Source organism: Homo sapiens, chromosome 20 (genome assembly GCF_000001405.40).
Source record: "Homo sapiens chromosome 20, GRCh38.p14 Primary Assembly".
Lineage (NCBI taxonomy): Eukaryota > Metazoa > Chordata > Mammalia > Primates > Hominidae > Homo > Homo sapiens.
The window spans coordinates 23,991,356-24,015,032 of NC_000020.11; the positions used below are offsets into that span (position 1 = coordinate 23,991,356).

The window sequence follows — 23,677 nt, forward strand, 5'->3', positions numbered from 1 at the left end:
TCCACCTCCTGGGTTCAAGCAATTCTCCTGTCTCAGCCTCCCAAGTAGCTGGGACTACAGGCACATGTCAAAACGCCCGGCTAATTTTTGTAATTTTAGTAGAGATGGAGTTTTGCCATATTGGTCAGGCTGGTCTCGAACTCCTGACCTCAGGTGATCGACCTGTCTTAGCCTCCCGAAGTGCTAGGATTACAGGTGTATGTTTATTTATTTATTTAAGATGGAATCTTGCTCTGTATTTATTAATTTATTTATTTGAGATGGAGTCTTGCTCCATCGCCCAGGCTAGACTGCAGTGGTGCAATCTCGGCTCCCTGCAACCTCTGACTTCCAGTTTCAAGCGATTCTCCTGCCTCAGTGTCCCAAGTAGCTGGGATTACAGGTGCCTGCCACCACAGCTGGCTAATTTTTGTATTTTTAGTAGAGACAGTGTTTCACCATCTTGGCCAGGCTGGTCTCGGGCTCCTGACCTCATGAGCCACCTGCCTCAGCCTCGCAAAGTGTTGGGACTACAGGTCTAAGGCACCATGCTCGGCCATATTTATTTATTTAATTATTTAGAGACAAAGTCTTGCTCTGTCACCCAGGCTGGAGTGCAGTGGCGCCATCTCAGCTCACTGCAGCCTCCGCCTCCGAGGTTTAAGCGATTCTCATGCCTCAGCCTCCTGAGTAACTGGGACTACAGGTACTCACCACCATGCAGGGATATTTTTTTCTATCTTTTTGTAGAGACACAGTTTCACCATGTTGGCCAGGCTGGTCTCGAACTCCTGACCTTAGGTGATCGGACAGCCTCGTCCTCTCAAAGTACTGGGATTACAGGCATGAGTCACCATACCTGGCCTCTCACTACATTTAAGTGATGCCATGGCTCATGCCTGTAATCCTAGCATTTTGGGAGGCCAAGGCAGGTGGATTACCTGAGGTCAGGAGTTCGACACGAGCCTGGCCAACATGGGGAAACCCCGTCTCTAGTAAAAATACAAAAATTAGTCAGGCATGGTGGTACAAGCCTGTAGGCCCAGCTACTTGGAAGGCTGAGGCAGGAGAATCACTTTAACTGGGAGGCAAAGGTTGCAGTGAGCCAATATCATGCCACTGCACTCCAGCTTGGGTGACAGAGTGAGACATCATCTCAAAAAAAAAAAAAAAGAAAAGAAAAACATATGATGCCGGGGCATCTTGGCCTCAATACCTGCATGAGCACAGTCATGTCCAGGCCAGGGCTGCTGGTCGAGGTCCGGCCCCATCTCTTCCAGCAGAAAGGGAGTAAGCTTGCAGGGAGGCTGGGGGACAAGATCCCAGGATCTCAGCCTCTGCTCATGGATGAGCTCTGAGACCCCAAGTGAGCTGGGGGTGCTCCGTGCGCATTGGTTTCCCCAGCTGTCAAGTAAAGGGATTGGATGAGGAAGTCTTGTCAAGGTGGAATGATCTCAGATTTGGGGCAGCAGTGAATGATCCCGCTCCCTGGGCCGTGCCAGTGTCCCGGCCTCAGCTGAACACAGCCCCAACACTCTGGAATGGGGATGAGGGGGCAGTCAGCTCTTGCTCCTAGTAAGAGAGATGCAATAGGGCTCTGTGGCTGAGCTGGGTGCCTTGCCTCACACCTGTAATCCCAACCTTTGAGAGGCTGAGGCGGGAGGATTGCTTGAGGCCGGGAATTTTGAGAATAGCCTGGACAACATAGCCAGACCCCATGTCTACAAAATAATAATAAAACACACAGCTATAGTCCAAGCTACTTGGCAGGCTGAGGCAGGAAGGTCCCTTGAGTCCGGGAATTGGAGGCTGCATTGAGCTATAATCGCACCACTGCACTCCAGCTTGGGTGACAAACTGAGACCCTGTCTCTAAAAGAAAAAAAATCGGCCTGTGAGCATGGGTTTGATTTTCAAACAGGACCCGGAGGGTAGGGACAGACAGTGCTGTCACCCTTAGGTGCTGAACACTCAGAAACAGGCCAGCGGCAGCCCTTTCCTCACCTGCAGACACCAGATTGGGCAGGACACCACGTGGCACTTGCAGCTCTTGCAGTGAGGGCAGAACCCAGTGTCAACCCTTCTGCCTGTGGGAGGGGCTGCTGAGGCCTGCGGAGAGGCCAGGGTGGAGGCTCGTCCCCTTGTCCAGCCCTTGGCATGGTCTCCATCAGGTTCCCAGCCCACCAGTGCAGGGCGCCCCTGAGCCTGCTGCTGCCACGGGCCCGGTCTCTACCCAGGACGTCCCCCCACCCTCGCAGTGTCAGGGAAATTATCATGGTGGCGGTGACACTCTGCAGGCAGGGCTGCTGAGAGAAGCTGAGAAGGGTCACACTGCAGGCAGGGGCCCATGTGACAAGCCCCTCTCACCCCGAGAGAGCTGACCAGGCAGCTCACAAGCAGAGCCACATCCTGGGAGTCCGAGAAAGGTCCGAGAAAGCTCAGCCACCTCATTGGCTATGGGCAGCCTTTGTCGTGTGAGCCTTGCTCTCCTGGGGAGGCTCAGGCTGACGGCTGATGTGGGCATTGCCGAGGGTAACCTGTGGCCCAGTGGATATGGCCGGGTCTCCTCAAGCTGCATTCATTCAAGTAGGACCCAGGGTGCGTGCCCATCTCCAGCCCAGGGCAGCTCCCCTGTAAGCTGGGTGAGCTACTGAAGCCAAGGCGGGAGGCAGCTGACAACACCCACGGCCCATGTGGAGGTGGTGGAAAGGCTGGACTCAGCAGCAACACCAAATCCCGGACCAGGCAGAAACCACCCAAGACTGAGGGGCTCATGCCAGAGCGGTGGCCACAGGTAAGAACCCGGGCCCAGGCTGTGTGTGGCGGGAATCCTCCATGTCCCAGGGCTTAGCATAGCAAAGGAAGATCAGCTGGGTCACCCTGGTGGCCATCTGTCCCTGTCCCACCTGTAGAGTCAGAACAGCCTCTCCCCAGTGGGGATCATCTCTCTCTGCCAAAGCAACAGCGGTCCCTGCCCCAACCAGACTACCCCACTCAGTGGAGTTACGGATGCTGCTCCAGCATCCTAACACTGCCCAGCTGGCGCCTGCCTGTGCTCACCCACACCCCCAGGCCGGCCTTCCCTGCAGCCTGGGCTTGGCCACCTTGGCCTGATTGAGCACTGAGGCCTCCTGGGCACCCAGCCCCATCACTGCACCTGCTGCTTCCAGCCCCACCCCACTGGCTCAGGGGTCCTTCCCAGCGGCGCTGATCATGAAATCAACATGCAAGCAAGTCGTCTCAGGAAACTTTTTAATGAAAGTGTCGGCCACGGTGGTGTGTAGGTGGCTGAGCTCAGATTGCAGCTGCTAAGACACCAGCCACTTACCAAGAGAAAGCCAGGCTGCTTCAAACCCAGGGCCCGAGGCAAAAAAGCATCACTTCCAGCCGGGGAGTCTGGAAGCCACGCCTTGTGGGAGGTCACACTGGCATCTAGGCCTTCGCCTGCATTGCAGAAGGAGAGCCGGGTCCCCCTCCTGGAGAACGCTGCGTTCCCCAGCCCCACACCGGCTTTGCCACCACACAGGCTTTTGAGGCAGGAGGTGGGTAAGACGTAGCTGTAGACCCAAAGCAACCACCAGCCCTGGGACCCTGCGGGAGAGGAGCACTTTTAGAACATGGAAAAGTGTGGTCATCCCATCATTAGACAGCACACATCCTACATAAATAAAAAGTCGTATGGGGAAGGAGGTTGGGGAGGGAATAAAAAATTGGCACAGACATTGATAGACTGGTTTCCAGTTTCAAGGTAACAGATGCACATCATGAGACCAGAGGAGGCAGAGACAAGGGCTGGATTTGGCTTTTCTAAGCAACATGCGTTCCTGCCCACGGCTGAATGGTCGCTGAGACAGATGGAAGCCAGGACAGGGGAGCCCACCGGGCCCAGATAGGTACAGAGAGCAGAGGCTCCTGTTCTGTCCTCGCCACCCACGAGGGTGACACTGCTTGTAAATGGTGGCCGTGCTCTCCCAGCAAGAAAAAAGCACAACTAAATCCACACTGCACACAGACGCAGACAGAAAGCCTTCAAGTGGCTCTGTTTTCTGCTCCCTGCCTTGCCAGGTCCACAAGCAGAGAGGAGTGTCAGGTGCATGGCCCCACTGTCAGGCTCCCTAGTGAGCTGCGGGTTCAGCAGGAGTTGCCCACTGACACACAGGGGACACCCACTCCTCCCACCTTGGGAGCGGTTGCCCGACAGAGCCGCACTGGGTGCTGGTGTCATCCAGGGACCCCACACACTTCCTTAAATGTGATCCTGCTTCCCTCTGGGCAGCTGCATCCTCTCCTCCTGCAAGATTGTCTGGAAACTTGGCTCTCAGTTTGCTCTCCCTTCTCTCCTCTGCCTGCCCCAAACCCCTCTTTCTAAAAAAGTGATGCCGTGTTCATGGGGTTATTTCTTGAAAACACTTGGCGGCCTCCATGCTTCTGTTTTCTTTGAGCCAGGTGGTCAGGAGGGCTTACAAAGAATGCCTGGGCTTCCCCGCAGGTGCCGGCAGATGGGGTAGCGAATGGTCCTGTGCCTCCACCTGCTCCAGGAGGGAGTCTCCCATCTCTAGGCCTGGCCCCTTCCTAACCCTCCACGTATCCTGTTCTCCAGAGACTTCAGAACCCACTCCTGAGAACAGCGGAGCCAGGCGCTTAGAGGAAGACAAAATGTTATTAATTATTAATAACAAAATGTTATTAATTATTAATATTAATATTTAACATTAAACAGTAATATTTAATGTTAAATATTAATATTGATATTTAATATTAACTATTAATGTTGATATTTAATATTAATATTAAATATCGATATTTAATATTAATATTAATATTTAACATTAATATTTAATATTAATATTTAATATTAATATTTAATATTTAACATTAATATTTAATATTAATATTTAATATTAATTATTAATATTAAAGGAGAAATTAATGTAATTAAAAATAATCACTATGCATTGTTCTGAAATGGCACTCGTGAATTATTTACACGGGAAATGCTGCCCCCTGCTGGCCACCTTAGGACACTAACACCGTGCTTTACCTTTTTCCATTTTCTCTCTTTGGTTGGCATTTTTCTTCTTTAAAAAATTTACGTTGATAGACATTTGCTCATCTCTAGCAGGTACCGTTGGGAATGAATTCTGTGCTGTTGTTGCCAATCCTGGAATGAAGTGAGACTCCCCTCCTCAGCCTCCTGACAGAGTCATCTCATTTCTTCTTTGAAAAATTAAAGAACGAAGGTAATGTGTTTTATCACAGAATTCGGCTTATACTCCAGTGTGGAAGACAAATTTCTGTTTAAGCTAATACTCTCTGCCCAGATGATTTTTCATGCTGCTGTATAATTGAGCCAGCTGCGTAAGGGAACATGGATCTGGCTTGTAAATAAGGTTGCTAGGGGAGCTGAATTATAAATGATAGAAAAAGTTAATCTTTCTCAGGTTAAAAATGTCATAAATCTCTGTTATTAAGGTGTTTCATTTTTTTCCTTCCCAAGTTCAAATTGGATTTTGCATATGGAAAGATGAAATCACTTGCATCCATAGAACTTTATCAGGGCTGTGTGAGAATTATCTGAAGAGATACCAAGAAGCACAGCAGGCTTACACATAGGCAGGCATGCACTGTGAAGTGCTCTTTGTAAATTCTAGAGTGTGGCTTGTAATTTATAACACATATTTTACTTTATTTAGGTTGTAACAACTTGAATCTTCCTTTCCCAATAGCAAGCAATTCCAGGCGGGGGATCTTAGCCATCATTTCATTTCTCCGGCAGCAAACAATATAATGCTAAGCAGGGGAATTCTGCTTCATGACTTGAGTTGATGTTACTGAGCCCTGGAGCACATTTATAGCTGATAAGAAGCATGTAAAAATCCTTATTAAACAATGAGGAAGAGGTGACATGAATGCTGACCTCCTTGGTCTAGAAAGACCAGGAATATTGTTGCTGTCCTGTAAGAGTAGTCAATGGTCAAGCATACCTGTGTGCTACCTGAGCAAGAATCAGAAGACAGCCCCCTACCTTGGCATCCAGGGGTAATCAGCAAGTTACCAACAGAAGTACCACATTTAGATTTCTCCACTATGAGCTGGGATGGGAGACAGAAGAAAACAGCAGGCTTGAGGTCCTTATGACATTCTGCTTCAGTGCTGGGGAGTGTCCTCAGACTGTAGCAAAGTAGGGAGGTTTTCATGGTTATTGGATTTCTCAGGATGCTAAACTGTGGTCTGCTTTTAAAATAAAAAATTAAAGACTTTATTTATTTATTTATTTTTCTTTCTCTCTTTTTTTTTTTGTTTTTGTTTTGTTTTGTTTTGTTTTGTTTTGGAGACAGAGTCTCGCTCTGTCACCCAGGCTGGAGTGCAGTGGTGCGATCTTGGTTCACTGCAGCCTCGGCCTCCCGGGTTCAAACGATTCTCCTGCCTCAGCCTCCCGAGTAGCTGGGATCATAGGCAAGCGCCACGACACTCAGCTAATTTTTGTATTTTTAATAGAGATGCGGTTTCACCGTGTTGGCCAGGCTGGTCTCGAACTCCTGGCCTCAAGTGATCCACCCACCTCAGCCTCCCAAAGTGCTGGGATTAAAGGCATGAGCCATCGCTCTGGGCTTGTTTAATTCTATTTTAGCTTCAAAGGGTACACATACGGATTTTTGATGTAAGGCTGAGGTTTGGGCTTTGATTTAACCCATCACCCAAGTAGAGAACATGGTACTCAATAGGTAGCTTTCCAGCCCTTCTCCCTTCCCTCTCCACTTTTGGAGCCTCCAGTGTCTATTGTTGCTAACATATGCCATGAATACCCATTGTTTATCTCCCACTTATAAGTGAGAACATGCGGTATTTGGTTTTCTGTTTCGCACTAAACCATGATCCTTGAAGTCATTTTCCTTTGAATTCCTGCTAGGAATCAGATTTAAACAAGAACAAAAGTAAAGACCAACATTGATGAACCGTTTATTTCCAAAAATTTGGAAAAGTCTGACAGAATTAGATTAAAAGAACTTTTGGTGACCTATTTATGTTCTGCCTCACTGAACACAGTCTGTGAACTTGCAGAATAAGGCAGGTGGGCCCAGGGTCCCGGTCCCACGGCCTGGCCTGACCTCAGAGGCCATGAAGCTAAGATAGCAGAAGCAAGACAGAATCTTCTCCTTGTATGAGTGCTTCTCTCAATATATCCATCCAGAGGCCACCGGAAACAAAGCATGATGGCATGGGCAGAGGAGCCCCCTGTGGGGCATGCGAGGTGCTGAAGGTGTGTCCATATGCAAGTCCTCTGTGAGGCAGAGTGTGCGGGCAGTCGAGTGCCCTTCCATCCTCTGAACTGAGAATGTCAAGGCATGAGATGGGCATGGATGAAGATCTCCCAACCGCACAGTCCAGCCCCTGAGCAGATAGATGCTCATCACACAGTGGGAACTGCATGTCGCTATGCTCCCAGCTGACCTACTGTGGGGAAGAGGGGGAGAATCAAAGAGAAGCCACGTAGTCACAGCTTGGAGAAATACCAAGTTAACTCTGCATCCCTTAGAAAATGAGTAAATCAAGAAAACCAAAATGTTGCCTCCCTCCTCCACCCCTGAGAAAACACACTTCAGATCTGGGGAAAGAGAATATCATGCAGATATGCAGAATAAGAGCATGCACTGGCATTTCCTTGCCTAGAAAACCGGCATCCTCAATAGCATGTAAATAGGCATGGCTGTGTAAGCCTGGAGCAGAAAGCTGCGGAAAGATGAACGGAGATGAAAAGACAGCAGGTGGTACAAAGAGACTAGAGGATAGGATGCAAAGGCAATGCAATGAGATGGAAAATGATCTGCTTGAAATACGGATTTCAACAAAGGTCCTTTTGAAAGAAGGACTTTTGCTTGGTAAATAACATGGATAGAACTGCAGGAAGTGAAATCCCTGATGGAAAATTTTTGAGAAACCCTCATGGAATGCATAAAATACGGACAAATAGGTATGATCTGTAAGAGGGTGAATGACAGGTGAAGAAAATGAACTGTGAGCTAAAGACATAGGTGCCCCTGACAAGGTAACATGGGCAACTAGCACAGTTGCCATAATCAAGAGAAGGATTTCTTGAATTAGCACAATTCAAGAATTTTTTTCTTTTTGACAGTGATCCCCAAGGAATAATACCTGGAGTCCTAGAACAAAGTTTTATTTAGAAGGATGAAGGGAAATCCCTTCACCCCACAAGCATCCAGAGAGAAAAAGAAGTTACTAACAAAAGAATCAAATTCATTCTTCTGCACTAAGGTTTAAATAATACTTACAGTTTTTGGAGAGGGAAGATTATCACAAACAAGCTTCATTCACATCTGAAAATGAAATGGTCAGACACTCAAAGACATGTATCAAATTTTATTTTTGATACAAAGAAGTTAAGCTGATATCATAGAAATGAAGAGCTCTGGGATGAGAGAATGGGGAGGGTGGGATAGTAAAAAAGTGGGCTGGGCACGGTGACTCACGCCTGTAATCCCAGCACTTTGGGAGGCCAAGGTGGGTGGATCATGAGGTCAAGAGTTCGAGACTAGCCTGGTCGATGCGGTGAAACCCAATCTCTACTAAAAGTACAAAAATTAGCTGGGCGTGGTGGTGTGCACCTGTTAAAAAGAGAGATTATGAATAGTGAAAGGGAGAATTAACCTAAAGCACTGTCATACATTTGTTAATCTAGAGGCATGTATTACAACTAATATTTGTTACCAGGAAAAGTATAAAAATTAATTACATGGAGAATTCCAAGGTCTAGTTTATATATTTAAAAAATCAAAAGTCGGGGGGTAGAACATGAAGAAGGAAAATCATTCTAAATTCTAAATATTGTATATCTGAGGCAGCAGAGTCAAAAGACACATTTCCTCTGTCTCTGTGTTGTGTTGTGTTGTGTTGTGTTGTGTTGTTTGTTGGTTTATTTGAGACAGGGTATTGCTTTGTCACTCAGGCTGGACTGCAGCCGTGCAAACATGGCTCATTGCAGCCTCCACCTCCTAGGTTCAAGGGGACCTCCCACCTCAGCCTCTTGAGTAGCTGGGACTACAGGCATGCATCACCATGGCCAGCACATTTTTAAATTATTTTTAGATATGGGGTCTCACTATGTTGCCCAGGCTAGTCTTGGACTCCTGGCCTCAAGCAATCCTCCTGCCTTGGCCACCCAAAATGCTGAGATTACAGGTGTGAGCCATTGCACCTGGCACATCTTTCTTGATTTGAATAAGGAATTATAGGTTGAACAATTAAACCAGAATGTAAATGTAATAAACCATTTGAGAAAATAAAGTGAAACATAATACTCTTAATATTTATTCCAATATAATAAAATAACAAATATGGCAGGGATTACAATAAAGGTAAGTAGGCTGGGCTCTGTGAAAAAAGATGTATACTTTCTAGCTGCATTAAAACTCAGTATCCACGTATGTGCTTACATTCTAGAACAGTTTAATGAATAAAACATTTAAAATTTAGCTTGTATATCAAGAAACAAAACGACAACATAGATGGCAACATGGTTTTCAAAGAAGTAAAATTCAAGGAGGAAAACAAATAGGTTGACTGAGAAAATATTATAAGGGACATAAACATTCATAAACATTAATATACTGATTAATATTGCATGAAAATATATAAAGCAAAAATTATCCAAATAAAATGAGAAATTGAGAGATGATCTTTACAGGATTTAGGAATGTAGCTCTCTGAGCCCTTGATAAGCCCAGCAAACATGTGACAAAAAACGTCGTAGAGAATTAAAGTCGGATTGAAGTAATTATTACCTTTTTGTGTTGGAAACACACTTTTAAAAATGTTTATAAAACATTTACAAAAATCATCAGAATTTCTACAAATTTTTAAATGGGAAACACTTGTCATACTCCCATAAAGCTACAGTAAAACAAGAAATGAATATGAAAAATTCTGCAAAAATTAACCAGATATCTAAAAATACTTGTATAAAATTATTGGATCAAAGGAGAAATGAAATTTCAATTTTAAGTTATTAGAATACTATATATCTTAAAATTGAATTAAACATGCAAAAAGTACAAATTTACAGACAAAATAAATAATGAACAAGTTATATAACAAAATAAGTTTAAAATAAAAAAGTAATTCTTGGGAAGCAAAAAAAGAAAATAATAATGAATAATAAATTAATTCATTAGATTTTCATAATCTAGTTCTGTGGTGAAGCTGTTGGCAAATCTCAAGGAAAGATAAAAATAACAACCAAAAAATAACCCAATGTGAGAAATGATGATATTAACAGAGAATAAATTCCATAATCTGTATCCTAGTAAATGATGAAAACTTCTGGAAAGACTGATTTGAAGCTGATTCTTGACTTCCATGTCCTATGGGATTTCTTGGAGAGAGAGAGTAAGTGTGAGGCTTTGTCCTTGACAGACAGGAGAGCCTGTGGGGCTGCGGGAGAACTTAAGGCTTATATATTGCTGTGTAGCAAAGCACACCCACTTAGTGACTTCAAGCAATGGCCATTTGATTTGCTTATGATTCTGCAGTCTGGGCTGGGTCAGCTGGGCAGTTCTCCTGATCTCACACTGGTCAAGCTGACAGGTCATCTGGGCTGGGCTCAGCTGGGATGCTGCAACAGCCTCTGTCTTTCTCTCCACTAGTTGCACAGTCTTGCTCTCTCCAAGGGGTCTGTCCATCATGGTACCTGAGCCTTGGGGTTTCCCAAAGCAGAAAAGCGGAAGCTGCTGGCTCTTTTTTAAGCTTAAGCCTAGAACGGGTACAGCATCACTTCCTCCGTATTTAATTGGGTAAAGCTTTTACAAGATCATCCCAGACTTGAGCAGGGCGAACCACCTGAGGGTATGAACACCTGAGGGCATGGTTCTTGGGGAGTCATGCATGTAATTGAAAGACACAGCTATTCTGGGGGCTGTGAAGGTTATTTATACCCCAGTGTGGCTTGACCAGCCGAAGTCTATGAGTCTCTCCAGGAAAGAGCTGCAGTGTGCAGGTGCAGTTCGAGCTTTCTGGTCTTGATGACCCTGGAGAAAGAGAAAATTGATGTTGGGTTGGATTGTGTGCAGCTTCTCTGGTTGGGTGAAGACTGTGTTTGGCATTTTGAAGCAGAAAAACGTCCTTTCCATGTTCCAAAATGAAGGTGATGATTTGCCAGCCCACTCCCTGCACATCCTCAGGGAGCAGGAGTCATACATCTTCCCTTGCTGTTGAAGTCATCCTGCCCCAGACGCCCTAAAAGCCTGATGGGTCTGGATGAGGAGAGGACACACCAGGAGGAGCAGGCAAAGAAAAGTTTCAGCTCCTCCGGAGCCCTTGAGTACGTGCAGAGCAAGGAAGTCCAAAGCAAGTAATGTAACACTCAGCTCCCCCTGAACTGGTGAGAGAGCTACATGAGAACTTAACAAAAACCACAAATGACAAGCCCTAGGAGACGTAGCTAGAACACAAAATACTCTCAGGATCTATAGACAGAAGAATGGATTTTTCAATTAAATGAAAATGTTTAACAGATGAAGTGAGAGATGGTCACAGCGGATAACTGATATACAGATGTGGGGGACCAGGTAGACATTCTGCAATCCTGTGAACACACGCACACACATGCACACTCACACACATGCACACACGCACACTCACACACACATGCACACACACATGCACACTGACACACATCCACGCACACACACATTCACACACATGCACACACGCACACACACATGTACACACATGCACACACACATGCATACACATGCACACAAGCACACTCACACATACATACACATGCACACGTACACACACCCACACACGCATGTGCAAACACATATGCACACACGCACACACACATACACGCACACGTATGCACACAGACGCACACCCACGCACACTCACACGTGCACACACACGCACACACATGCACACACACAGAGACACAAAAGCCACAAGGCAATATAAAGAGACCTGAAGAACAAATCCAGGATACCCAATATGTGAATAACAGACCTTCAAAATGGTAAACAAAAAAGAACCAGTAGAAGAAAAGTCACACTCGAAAATTAAGTGTATGTGATGAGAGGCCAGAATGATTATCCCGGTGGGTCTCACAGTGGAAGCAAGTGTGAGAAAAACAGTCTGTAACTTCGCTTTGGACATACTCATATTACAAAAGTGTGGCCCCTAAGAGGATATGCTACTGTCCCGTGGGATGCCAAGCCTTTTGCTCTGTCAGGGTGCAGATTTCAGGTGACATATATTAGCTTAATGCACTGAAAGAAACCAAAATATTCTCCCCTACCTACTGAGGATTATGGAGCTTAAGAAGATTCAGATGCAGGGAGACTCCGCCCTGCCTCTGCTTGCCAGGTAGCAGGACAGCAATTTACAAAACCAAGGTATTCTTCCTTCCTCTCTGTCATTCCCACCTAAAGACAGGCCCCTTTCCAACACTTGCTTATAAGCTCAGAGACAGCCACGCCAGAGAATCTAGGAGCTGGCTTTACTCTTCCCACAATTACTTTCCCATGTATCTCACTTTTTTTAAGCCTGAAGATGCTCTTTTCTTTGTCTTGTCACTAAATAGGATTTATGGCTCTTTGTTAAAATAATTTTTTTTTAAGTGGAGTCTCTGTTGCCAAGGCTGGAGTGTAGTGGCACAATCCCGGCTCACTGCAACCTCTGCCTCCCAGGTTCAAGCGGTTCTCCTGCCTCAGCCTCCTGAGTAGCTGGGATTACAGATGCCTGCCACCACGCCTGGCTAATTTTTCTGTTTTTAGTAGAGACAGGGTTTCACTATGTTGGCTAGGCTGGTCTTGAACTCCTGACCTCAAGTGATCTGTCCGCCTCGGCCTCCCAAAATGCTGGGATTACAGGCGTGAGCCACTGCACCCGGCCAATACTTTTTAAGTATTGGCCCCTAAGCCACTGCCTTGAGAGAGAAATAATTTTGAACTGAAGCCTTTCCCAGGTGATGGGTACAGCAAGTGTTAATAAACTCCTGCTGGGTTTTCTCTTGTTAATCTGACTTTTGTTTTCAAGCAAGTCTAAACTAAGAATCTATAAGGGAAAGAAAAGAAATTACATTTCCTCACCTATAGCACTGAAGGAACCCAGGGAACTTCACCCAAAAATATGGCTCCCTAGTATAGTGAGTATTTTGAATTGAAAATCCTTAGAGATCAACAGAGGCCAAGAGAGTTTTCCCTTATCTGCATAAAGACCGACCCCCAAGGAGAACAGTTGCTTTCCTTCTCCTCCCTGTTATCTCCTTATCCACTGCAGAAAAGAATCCCGAGGAATACCGCCTCGCCTGAGCAGGCCCTTTGGCCCTCTAAGTATGCCATCCGTCCCCTTGACAACCAGGCCCCCTCCTGAGGCGGTCCGGGGTCAATCACCACATTCGCATAGAAACAGACACTTGTCACTTTGGAGACTCCAAGCTTTTTAGGAGCTGTGTGCCAGGGAGCAGGACAAAAACCAAATATATATTTCTTATCATAAATCACAATGTCATACTACCGTCTATTCATCCCTCCCCTCGGGACAGATAAGCTTGTCAGTTATCCTTTGGGTGGCTTACAGAAACATCTAACCCCACAGGGATGTTCTAAGAGGCTGACACATAAGAAAGGTAGAGGACATCCATCAGCTGTGCCTACTTAGGGCTCAAGCAGACCTGGTTATATTGCAGTCATTTCTGTCAACAAGAGCCTCCTGTGGCCCTGATGCTACGTAGCCTTAAAAATACTCTCCCCTGGAAGTAGACCCCTTTACCAGCCCCAGCAGACCAAAGCAAAATGAAGTCACTCATGCTAAAGTTCCATGTCACCAAACCAAAACTAAGCTACTTGACCTTCTGAGAAATCAGGAGAGAGAAATATAACCAAAGAGGCCAGCTTTAGCTGGCACAATAAGGAAGTCTGTCCTGCGTTAACTCTCACAAAGAAGTAACCTAATGCTATTAATTGATCAGTTATTTTTCTATGGTTTTGTTTCCTTGTTTTCCCCTTAGAAAACTCACTGTTCTGCTACTGGTTGGTGGAAGCTTTCAAGCTTTCATTTTATTTTGTAGGATGGAGGCTGCCCTGATTCACGAATCACACATAAAAGCCAATTAAGATCTTTAAATTTGTTGTGATTTTGTCTTTTGACACAACTGTGGTTATTTATTCTGCTCATGAATTTGAAGATTGCAGGGCTTGGTGGAGAGAGCTTGCCTTGCTCTCTGGGGCACCCTCTGGGGCAGACCCCTGGAGGGTAGAGGACCTGCTTCGGAGATGTCTTACTCTGGGGCTGAAGTGTGGTTCCAGTCGTTGTCGGGGAGGGCAGCAAGGGCGGTGGGCCCCAGGTTTTGGTTTCTCTCCACACGGGGCCTTCTCCAAGGTCTGCCTGGGCTTTCTTACAGCACGGTGTCTGGTTCTAGGAGTAACGTCCCAGGAGAACAAAGAGGAAGAACCTAGAATTTCCATGATCTGGTCTCAGGAGTCACAGGGCTTCACTTTGCTCTACTCTGTGTTGAGGCAGTCAAAGAGGTCTACTCTGATTCAGAGGGGGGGACACAGCCCTGATATCTTGGTGTCACAGATGACCTGTCACTGTGTAAGGAGATTGTGGGGGATGAGAGATATTGATGGCGCCATCTTTGGAAAATCCAATCTGCCAAAACTCTCCTGGGAAGTGATGACTTCCAAAACTCTCCTGGGAAGTGATGACTTCCTTCCCAGCCTGGGGGCTGGAGGTCGGGCAGCCTAGAAGGATCTGGGCTGTTCACCTTGAAGAGCGCAATCACTGAGGAGGTGGGTGAATTCCTTCCTGATCCTGGTCGGAAGTCAGGACTGCACTGAATGCACCTCGTGAGGGGGGCCAGCAAGCATGGCAATTGGGGCACTGGAAGGGTTGGGTTTTCCTCAGCGAGAGGGACCAGCAAGAGCAGAGATGTGATCTGCGTCTCTGCCACTTCTTCAAGCCTTAAACTACAGCCCTCAGGTTCCTTCCACCCTCAGCAGGAAGAATGTATATCTTGCTCTGTTGTGATTAAACATTTCTCCTTGATGAAGGCAGGGAGGTACCAGGGAGCTGCTGATCCCTCAGGCTCAGCTGTGTCTGTACCAGTGCCTCCAGCATCTGCTTATAGATCCACACACAGCCCAGCATTTTGTTACCTATATTGATCACTGATGAGGAATTGAATGGAGTCTGGAATTTGGTTTCTGGTGAAGAAACTAGGGCACAGGAGCCGAAAGCCACATTTTCAGGTGTTTTCCTGGCTTTTTCCCCTCAGCGGAGACAGATTCTTTGATTAACGCAGAGCTAGTGTCTTTGCAGCTCCTAAGTGATCGATATGCTACTGGTCTCATCCGGACCTCTCAGCTACTCCAGTGAGTTAAGGCGATATTTAAAATGCTCACTGCAACTGCTTTGCATTTCTCCGGTGTCATCTACCTTGCTAATTGCTTGTGTTAAGCAATTAGCAGCTTCGCCAATCAGCCTGGGGTGTGCTGGCTGTGGGGATGAGATTTCTTCATGACTTGCTTTTCCCAGTGGATTGAGTGCATATTTCCAATTGGCATTAGTAAGGTTGAGTTTGCAATAGCAGCTGCCAGTGCCAGCTCCAGCCTGGAGAACAGGGACAGCCCCTGCCCTGATTTTTCCTCCCACTGGTCTCCCTTCATGTTTGTTATATCACCCAACCCCAGGCTCACAGGAGTAACTGAGGAACGGAAGCATGAAGCACAGACTATGCCTCCAGTTGTTAATGAGCCAGACCAGGTTTGCTGCAAAACAACCAGGTCACAGTAGTTTGGAGCACAGCTTCCATGCCTCCTAAAGCACAGTGACAAATTGCTATTGGGAGTTTTTTGTTTTTAATTAAATTGGGAACAAGTGCTCCTGGAGCACTGGCAATGTCTCTGCTGACATGCACGGGGGCGCACGTTGCTCTGACACCCACTTCTATGCATGTGCTGAGGACACAAGAAGCTAAGCATTGCTCTGCCTGAGACTTAGCGCCTTCCATGAAGATATCTGAAGCTGAAAAATATCCCGTGTCCGGACATACTGTGAATTACAGCACACTCAGCCAAAAATAGATCAGAGAGACTTTCTGAGAGTCACTCACTTCTCTGTCCACTTCGGAGAACTCAGCTTTGATTGGCATTATGGACAAAACAGATCTGATTTCTGTCCTCAACAGGCATTAAACAATCCTAGGAAAATACATCGCATATTATGATATGTGCTATGAATAATAATAATCTTAACAATCACAAACCATGATTAACATTAAGGAGCAGTTACTGTGAGTCAGACATTGTTCTAAGCAACTGACATTTATCAACTCATTTGATGCTTACAACAATTTTTTCATTATTATCTCCACTTTACAAATGAAGAAATTTAGCATAGATGATGTGAAAACACCTTGCCAAAGTCAAGAGCTAATATGCTGTGGAGTCAGGACCTGGATGTGCAGCCAGACCCCAGGGCTCAGCTCATAACAGGGGAATGTGAATTCAAAGTCATGAGCTAATATGCTGTGCAGTCAGGACCTGGATGTGCAGACAGACTCCAGGGCTCAGCTCATAACAGGGGAATGTGAATTCATCCTTTGCTGGTTTTCTCTGGACTCTTATCTGGTCAGACTTGAGTCCCCACAGCCCTGCAGACACTGCTCTTGTCAAGGTCACCTTCATGATCTAAGCCCGGGGGTCTGTTCTCAGTCTTGGCCTCCCTGAATTCATCTGCGGCTTGCACAGCTGATTCCTTGAAGCACCATGGACGTGTGGCTGCAGCCAGATCCTGCTGCTTATCCTTCTACCTTTCTGTTCCTTGCACACTGTTCTCCTAGTTCCTTCTTGTCTCCCAACGTCCAAACCTCACTGCCCTGGGCTCACTCCTTGGACCTCTTTGCCGTTTTATATGTGCTTACTTCCTTGATGACCTCGCCCCATCTAATGTCTTCGAATAAATCTATATGGTGATGATTCCAGTTTACCTTGTGTTTTGACTTTTCCCTCAACCCTGGAGGACCAGCAAATCTAACTACGTACTCAGCATTTTCATTTGGATGTCTAGTAGGACATTTCCAGGGTGATCTGCCCAAGATAGAGCTCCTGTCCACCCTCCCATCCTACTACCAAACTGACCTCATTCCCTGGCCTTCTGCATCCTGCCAGTGGTAATGCTCTCCTTCCAGTTGTTCAGGCTAAGACATTTGGTGTTATCCTTGATTGCCTTCTTGGCTTTGTTTATAAAAGATGCCCAGAATCTCCCTGTGCCCAGCACGGCCTCTCAGCACCCTGGTCCCAGCCCTGCTGCCTCCAGGCAGGCTTGATGCAGCAGCCAGTTTTCCTGTTCCTGGCATCCCTGCTGCAGCCACACAGGGCCCTGGTAGTGTGCAGGGATGTGGACCCCCGCATGGTCTAGAGCTTGACTTAGAAATTCAACTTTTGCTTCCGCTTCTGATAACTGTGCTTCTATGAGAATGTCATTTAGACTCTTGTGGACGGAAAATGGGCCTGATATTAGTTTTTGCCCCTCAGAGTTGTTGATGTAGGTAAAGAGTTTGAACTTAGGTCTGGCTCATATTGAGGGCTCTACAACACTGCTATTATTATGAACGCAAAAGGCAAAGCACAGGACCCAGGGCTCAAATCCTCCACTGGCCTCCAGGTCGAAGTGAAACATAAACCACAACAGTGGCCTCCAGGGCTTCACCTTTCACCTCTGCCCCCTCTTCTTTTCTCCAGTCACCTCCTGCACTCACTCTGATGTGCCAGGCTCTGGCCTGTGGCCTCTGCACGTACTGTTTCCTCTGTCTGAAAGTCTCTTCCCCTATGAGGCCATCTCTGGTTTCCTATTCCACGTGGCAGTGCTGCTCCCAGGCCATCCACTCTTCACCCAGCTTTCCCTTCCTGCATAGCAGCTGTCACCACTGACATCACACTGGTTATTGATCTTGTTCGTTGCCAGTCTCTCTGCTAGAATGTAAGCTTGGTGAAGGCAGTGGGTAGGAGGGAGTACTTTATTCTCTTCCACATCCCAGCCTCTAGAGCCATGTTTTAACTGCCTACACAGTAGGCAGTTAATAATGGATGTTAATTGAATGATTAAATTAAATATAAAAACAGCTGGCACTTATTGGGTGCCAACAATCTTGCATACTGATTCCCATTCAATCCCACCATAGCTCTGTGCCATAGGGCCTTATTTTTAGATCTTTCACTTTGCTGATGAACAGAGTGAAGCACGGCGTGGCTGATGTGCCCAAAGCCAATGGTGGGTGGGTGTGAAGCCAAGAGGCACCTCCGAAAGCCTAATTCTAGAGCTGCAACCATTCTGAATTTCAGTGAATTCTCAACCTGTCTGCTGTGTACATTTGCTTCCTCTCAGTGATCTCTATATTCTGAGTGGGGTTAGACCCTTGAAGTGTGGCTTGTGCCACTGAGGAGCTGAATTTTTAATTGGCTTCATTTGTATTAATTTAAATTTACATAGTTACACATGGCTGGTGGCTATCTTATTGTACAGTCCAGGTCAGCATGGCCTCTTACCAACAAAGCCCTCTCTTTCTCATTGTCTTGTGCCAACATTTCTTTTAAAAATAGATGTCTGCTATAGACTGAATATTTGTGTTCCCTCAAAATTCATGTTTTGAAATCCTCACTCCCCAAGTTGATGATATTAGGAGGCAGGGCCTTTGGAAGTTGACTCCAACATGAGAGTGGAGCCCTCGAGAATGGGATTAGTGCCCTAATAAAAGAGGCCCCAGAGAGCTCCCTCACCCCTTTGCCATGTGAGGAAGCAGTAAGAAGGCACCATCTCTGAAGCAGAGAGCAGCCCTCAGCAGACACTGAATATGCCGGCGCCTGGATCTTGGACTTCCCAGCCTTCAGAACTGTGGGCAAGACGTCTCTATTTTTTCTAAATTATCAAGTCAAAGATATTTTGTTTCAGCAAGTTGAATAGGCTAAGACAATGTCCTTACAGCCAGGTGAAGTGGGCCCTTCCTTTGACTAAGAGAAATGCATTATCCACTGTGGCAATGTCATTGAAGGTCATCTGCTCATTGTGGCACAGAATTTTTGCCTGTCATTTTGCCGAAGATCTCATTTGCTTTCAAATTGCAAGTCTAGCAGAATCCCAGGGATCAAGTGGCCCTGATTCTCTGATTGTGTGTAATAGTAAATATTCTGTAGCAGTTGGAGAAGTGTGTTAATAGATGTCAACAGAGATGCAAGGTGATGCTTGTCAAATCACTGATTTTTAGAGCAGGGGGTTTTCAGAGTAGGTCTGGCAGGAATGGGTATGTTCCTTCCCCCAAGGCCATGACACCTTTTATTCAAACATAAATCATTCTATTCTTTCACAGACAGACAAATGAGACAACTCTGGGATTGACCAAAGGGTATTCTTTCCATTTCAATTCCAACTTGTTGGTTCTGATATTCCTTTGGGGGCCACTTTTATTTGCCATGCTATGTTGATTGTCTGAGGAAGTAACTCAACAGGAAATACAATTATTGCAGAACTGTGGTGCTGTACTGCAAATTTCACAACAGAGTTGCTGGGATTCCTGGTTCTTAGGGCCCATGTTTGTTGAGGTTCACAGCAGCATAGGATTGACAGAGCAATGCACACCTGCATGGATCCCTTGGCTTAGGAATGGGAGCGTTGCAGTTGGCTGGGACTGCTGACACTTAACTGCAACCCAGGGATCTCTCGAAGCAGTTGCTGGTTTGGCTCCAATTACTGTCATGTATCTAATACTTTAAAGGGTATGCAAGAAACACAGAAGCAAAACCAATTTCAGACTCAGCTTTGTTCTCTCAAGGATCCCCATGTAGCCCAATGCTTGGGGAAGACGGCTGGATGAGTGGTGGCATGCAAGGTGGTTAGAAAGCTGCTATTTCCAAGTCATTCAGACCAAGCCTTTGAAGGACACTCATGGCCTCAGTCACTCAGTATGCACCTACCAGCCACTTTCTCCTGCGTGCATCTCTGTCATCACTGTGTTTTGTCAGTGGAGGCGAGACGCAGTGCTGCCCAGGGCTGGGATGGTGGTGAGCACGCCTCATAAACATGCTCTGTGAGTGGGAGAATTCGAATGCTGCATGCCAGCTGACTTTCTGTCACCCACACTGACCCTCTCAATACTGCATGCTGAGCTCCACTAACTCCCATACTATGTAATTGATGGAGTGGAACAAACTTCACAGCAAGTTAAATGCAGACTTTATTCAAGCTCCAAGGGACTTGGAAAGACCTTCAGCCCAGTCAGCCCAGATGAGCCCACCTCTGTGAGCCCCTTGATTTGGAATGGCGGCTTGTATGTCTGTGTCAACAGGAAGCTCACTGCATTGTGACTCAGGTGAGGAGGCCTGCCCTGGGAGCAAACTCCTCTGCAGCCATCATCACGACAGGCACAGCACAAGGGTGAGTCTCTCATCTGGCCAGAGCCTCCCCAACCCACTGGGGCAGCAGTCACATCAAAGGCCTGCCCTGCGATGCACCAGCCTGGAGGGGGGCATCATGCCCATTAGGGCTTTGGTGCCTCCAGTGGGTACAGAAGTCTGGAAGAGCTGGGAATGTTTCTCTCGGGGGAAAGGTTGACTTTACGTGCAAACCAATTTATATGTGTCTGCCTTTTCTGGAGGATGACCTGGAAAAATGATGTGCACATACTATCCATGCACTGAGAGACAAGGTAGGACACCCCATGAGAGTGGTACAGGCAGTTATTTTGGGTGCTAAGCAGTTAGGGTGATTTTTGGCTGGAGGTATTCAGGGAGGCTAATCTCTGGCATTTTGATTGGTGGGATCAAGAAGGCAGGGAAAAAGCTACAGAGATAGGGATAAGGGGAACCCACGCAGGCTGGAGTTTTTGGAGAGTGGAGTGAGGTGGAGAATATGGCAGCACATGGACCCTAACAGTATCACAGCAGCCTGTGGACACCAGTCACAGAGCTCAGGTCCAACTCGGAAAGCATCAGGAGCATTTGAGAATTTGGGGAAAGAAAGATCTCATCAAGGTGGGCTTCTAAGAAGACTCCCCCTGCCAGTTGAGCAGGAAGCGGGAGGGAGGATGGAAGCCAGTGTCTCCCCCTGCCTCCTTGCAGAGGAACGATGTTTGTAACAGCAGGTTCTTGGGGGTGGATGTGGTCTCAACTAAGATGGCAGGTCCAGGGTGACACCAGCGGGATTCAGGCTCTGCCAGGTCACAAGTTTTGGAGATGGTGACTACACCTGCTTTGAACTCCTAAAAACCAGTAATGAATGCCCCAGGATACAGGAATGGTGTGGCGGGTACAGGGCAGCCTGTCAGCCTCCAGGTCCAGCCCATGGCCTTCCCCTATGGACCTGTCTCTGGTAGGCCTTGCAGACCCTTCCCCTGGCAGGGCAACCTTGCCACACACTCCTCATCCCCTCATCCCCCCTTGCCCAGGCTTCCCTACTTAGCCAGTGATTTGATTTCCTTTGCGTATGAGTGCATCCGCCTTCCCTCCTCTTCATAACACGCCTGTACCCGTGGCCCACTCAGTCCTGCACCTTGACTCAAATCTTTTTGTGATTGTCCTTCAGTGTGACCCCCTCTGAATGGACTCCCTCTTCTCTCTGTAAAGACACTCGAAAACATAAATAGTCCTCCGAGCAAACCTATCACTCAACCCCACTGCCTTCCTGCTTCACATCCTGTGACATCGAGGGGAGACCAAAGGCTCCAGGGAGGGGAGGACCTCAGGAAAGGAGCCTCCTAGCTCCTGCCTCTGCCCCAGGAAAGGAGTGGACAACACACACCATCGGCTCCAGAACAAGATCGCTTTGTTCTGTTCATTGTTACTGTCCTGTGTTTGTTCATTATTCCCCATGTTTCCTAATATATGTTTTCTAAGCCAACACATTAGTTCAAATTACTGCATTTTTCTTGAATCTTGACAAGAAAATTATGTAGGAAGTAGATTTGAGTTTTTGCATAGCTGTGTCTACTGTGACCCAATGGACTTTCACCCTGAACCTTTCATTTCTTGTGCAAATCACACTTCTCTGCATCCTTTCCTACCATGTTACTCGAGAGCTGCGGCTGAGTAACGTTTTAGCACAGCATCAATTTCCCTGGCATTAGGTCTTGATTTGTCCAGAAAATGAAAACTTAAGCTCTCTCAAGGACACACCTGAAATTTTATCCCTTTAGAACTAGTAGCTTGATTTTGTCAATGATGATTTGATCCTGTTGAATTTCTGACCCTTTCAGGTAAGCCCTGGACCAAGCCACAAAGGTAGCAAGATTGGTTTTCGGAGTTTCTCGTAGGCTGTTCTTCTTGCCTTCTGTCACACTCACTCCATCAGGGCCTGTTTGCTGCCCAGATGAGCCACACACATCGGCTGGATGAAATGAAACTTGCCCTTCTTGTCCTACATGTCTGTATCTAAAAGTATACATTTTGGAAAGAGGCCTTATTAATCTAAATACTTTTTATTTTAAGGTAAGAATTTTAATTTCTATTTCATTTGGTGATATTTTGTTCATATTAGTTGTCCTGTGGGTTTGCAAGGAAATCCGTCAAGGTTACAAAAGAACATTTTATAACTCTTATTTTTAACCTAGAAATAGCAAAGAAACAAAACATTAGTACTGTTTTAAACATGGGTGGACACTTACAGCTCATTTGGCTTAAATGATGGCAGGTTATCTGTTAGCTGAGGATTCAAGACATCTGAGGGAAGAGTGGGGTACAGGGAGCAGCGTGGGGGCTGAAATGCACAGTGTCATGTGTGTGGGAGTGTGATGTGCATGCAGTGTGCATGTGTGTGTGGGATGTGTGTGATAGATGATGTATGTGTGCCTGTGATCTGGTGTGTGTGTATGTGTGTGTGCAGGTGTCTGCGTTGGAGTAGTTTAGTGGGAATCCCTGACTCCTGACAGCTGATCAAGCTTCCCACCTCCACCATCCCCCAGGAGATGTCTGAACCCTGTCTGCTTTCAGCAAGAATCCTACTAGGTCGGGTTAGCCAGATTCCCCCACCTACAGGCCGGATGCTTCCTCTTATTGATTTAGCATCCGCTGACCCCACCCTGCTCTTTGGTGAAAGTCCCCACTGTCCATGCTGTAGGAGTGACCCATGTTCTACTTTGAGGCTTCTTTTATCCTACTGCAATCATTCCTGAACCAAATCTATTTTTACAGCTTTAACTATTGTCCAGTTCTGGTTTTCTTTAGCGGAGGGAAGCAGCCAGGGGGGTCTCCATAGTCAACTTGACCTTGATCTTCATAAAGGTACGAAGGCACTTTCAGGCCAAACTTCTAGTGAACCTGGGACATTTTGGGAGCTAAGTGAGCTGCCAGCGGCCCTAGGATCAGAGTGGGGAAGGGACTAGGGTTTTCCTCAATCTCAGGCTTAATGACTGGGGGCATTTCAGCTCCACTTACTGCTCTGTCTTTCATAACTTTGTCCAAACCCTTTTTTGGGATTCTTCCAGAAGCAAAGGGAAGCACAGTGTTGATTACTCGCTGTGTGAGCAGTGCGTTCCCTTCTGTGCTATATGAGTACTTTGCTCACATCTTACATTTCACTTTACACATGTGTGTCAGGGTTTGGGAAACCAGTCTCGTTTTATCCTTGACTTTATTTTTTGGCATCTTGACTGGAGCATCTCTATGTGCATGCACCCTCACTGCCATCTCCTGGGT

At 46.5% G+C, this 23,677-nt stretch overlaps 1 long non-coding RNA gene across 2 annotated transcripts, besides 2 other annotated features; it reads left to right on the top strand.

Moving 5' to 3' along the window:
- Positions 2,393–3,112: an enhancer, noted in NCBI's record as "H3K4me1 hESC enhancer chr20:23974385-23975104 (GRCh37/hg19 assembly coordinates)". NCBI's record gives its function as "activates a minimal SCP1, AML or CMV promoter by ChIP-STARR-seq in naive H9 embryonic stem cells {active_cell/tissue: H9 hESC(naive)}" and the evidence as "EXISTENCE:reporter gene assay evidence [ECO:0000049][PMID:30033119]".
- Positions 2,753–5,202, top strand: LOC107985438 (uncharacterized). Of its 2 annotated transcripts, none has more exons than XR_001754556.3 (3): positions 2,753–2,772; positions 2,891–3,520; positions 5,101–5,202. It is a non-coding gene; the product is annotated as an uncharacterized LOC107985438 (long non-coding RNA). The 2 variants fall into 2 exon arrangements; XR_001754555.3 differs by having other exon boundaries at positions 5,098–5,200.
- Positions 3,833–4,551: an enhancer, noted in NCBI's record as "H3K4me1 hESC enhancer chr20:23975825-23976543 (GRCh37/hg19 assembly coordinates)". NCBI's record gives its function as "activates a minimal SCP1, AML or CMV promoter by ChIP-STARR-seq in primed H9 embryonic stem cells {active_cell/tissue: H9 hESC(primed)}" and the evidence as "EXISTENCE:reporter gene assay evidence [ECO:0000049][PMID:30033119]".
- Positions 5,203–23,677: the final 18,475 nt, after the last annotated feature.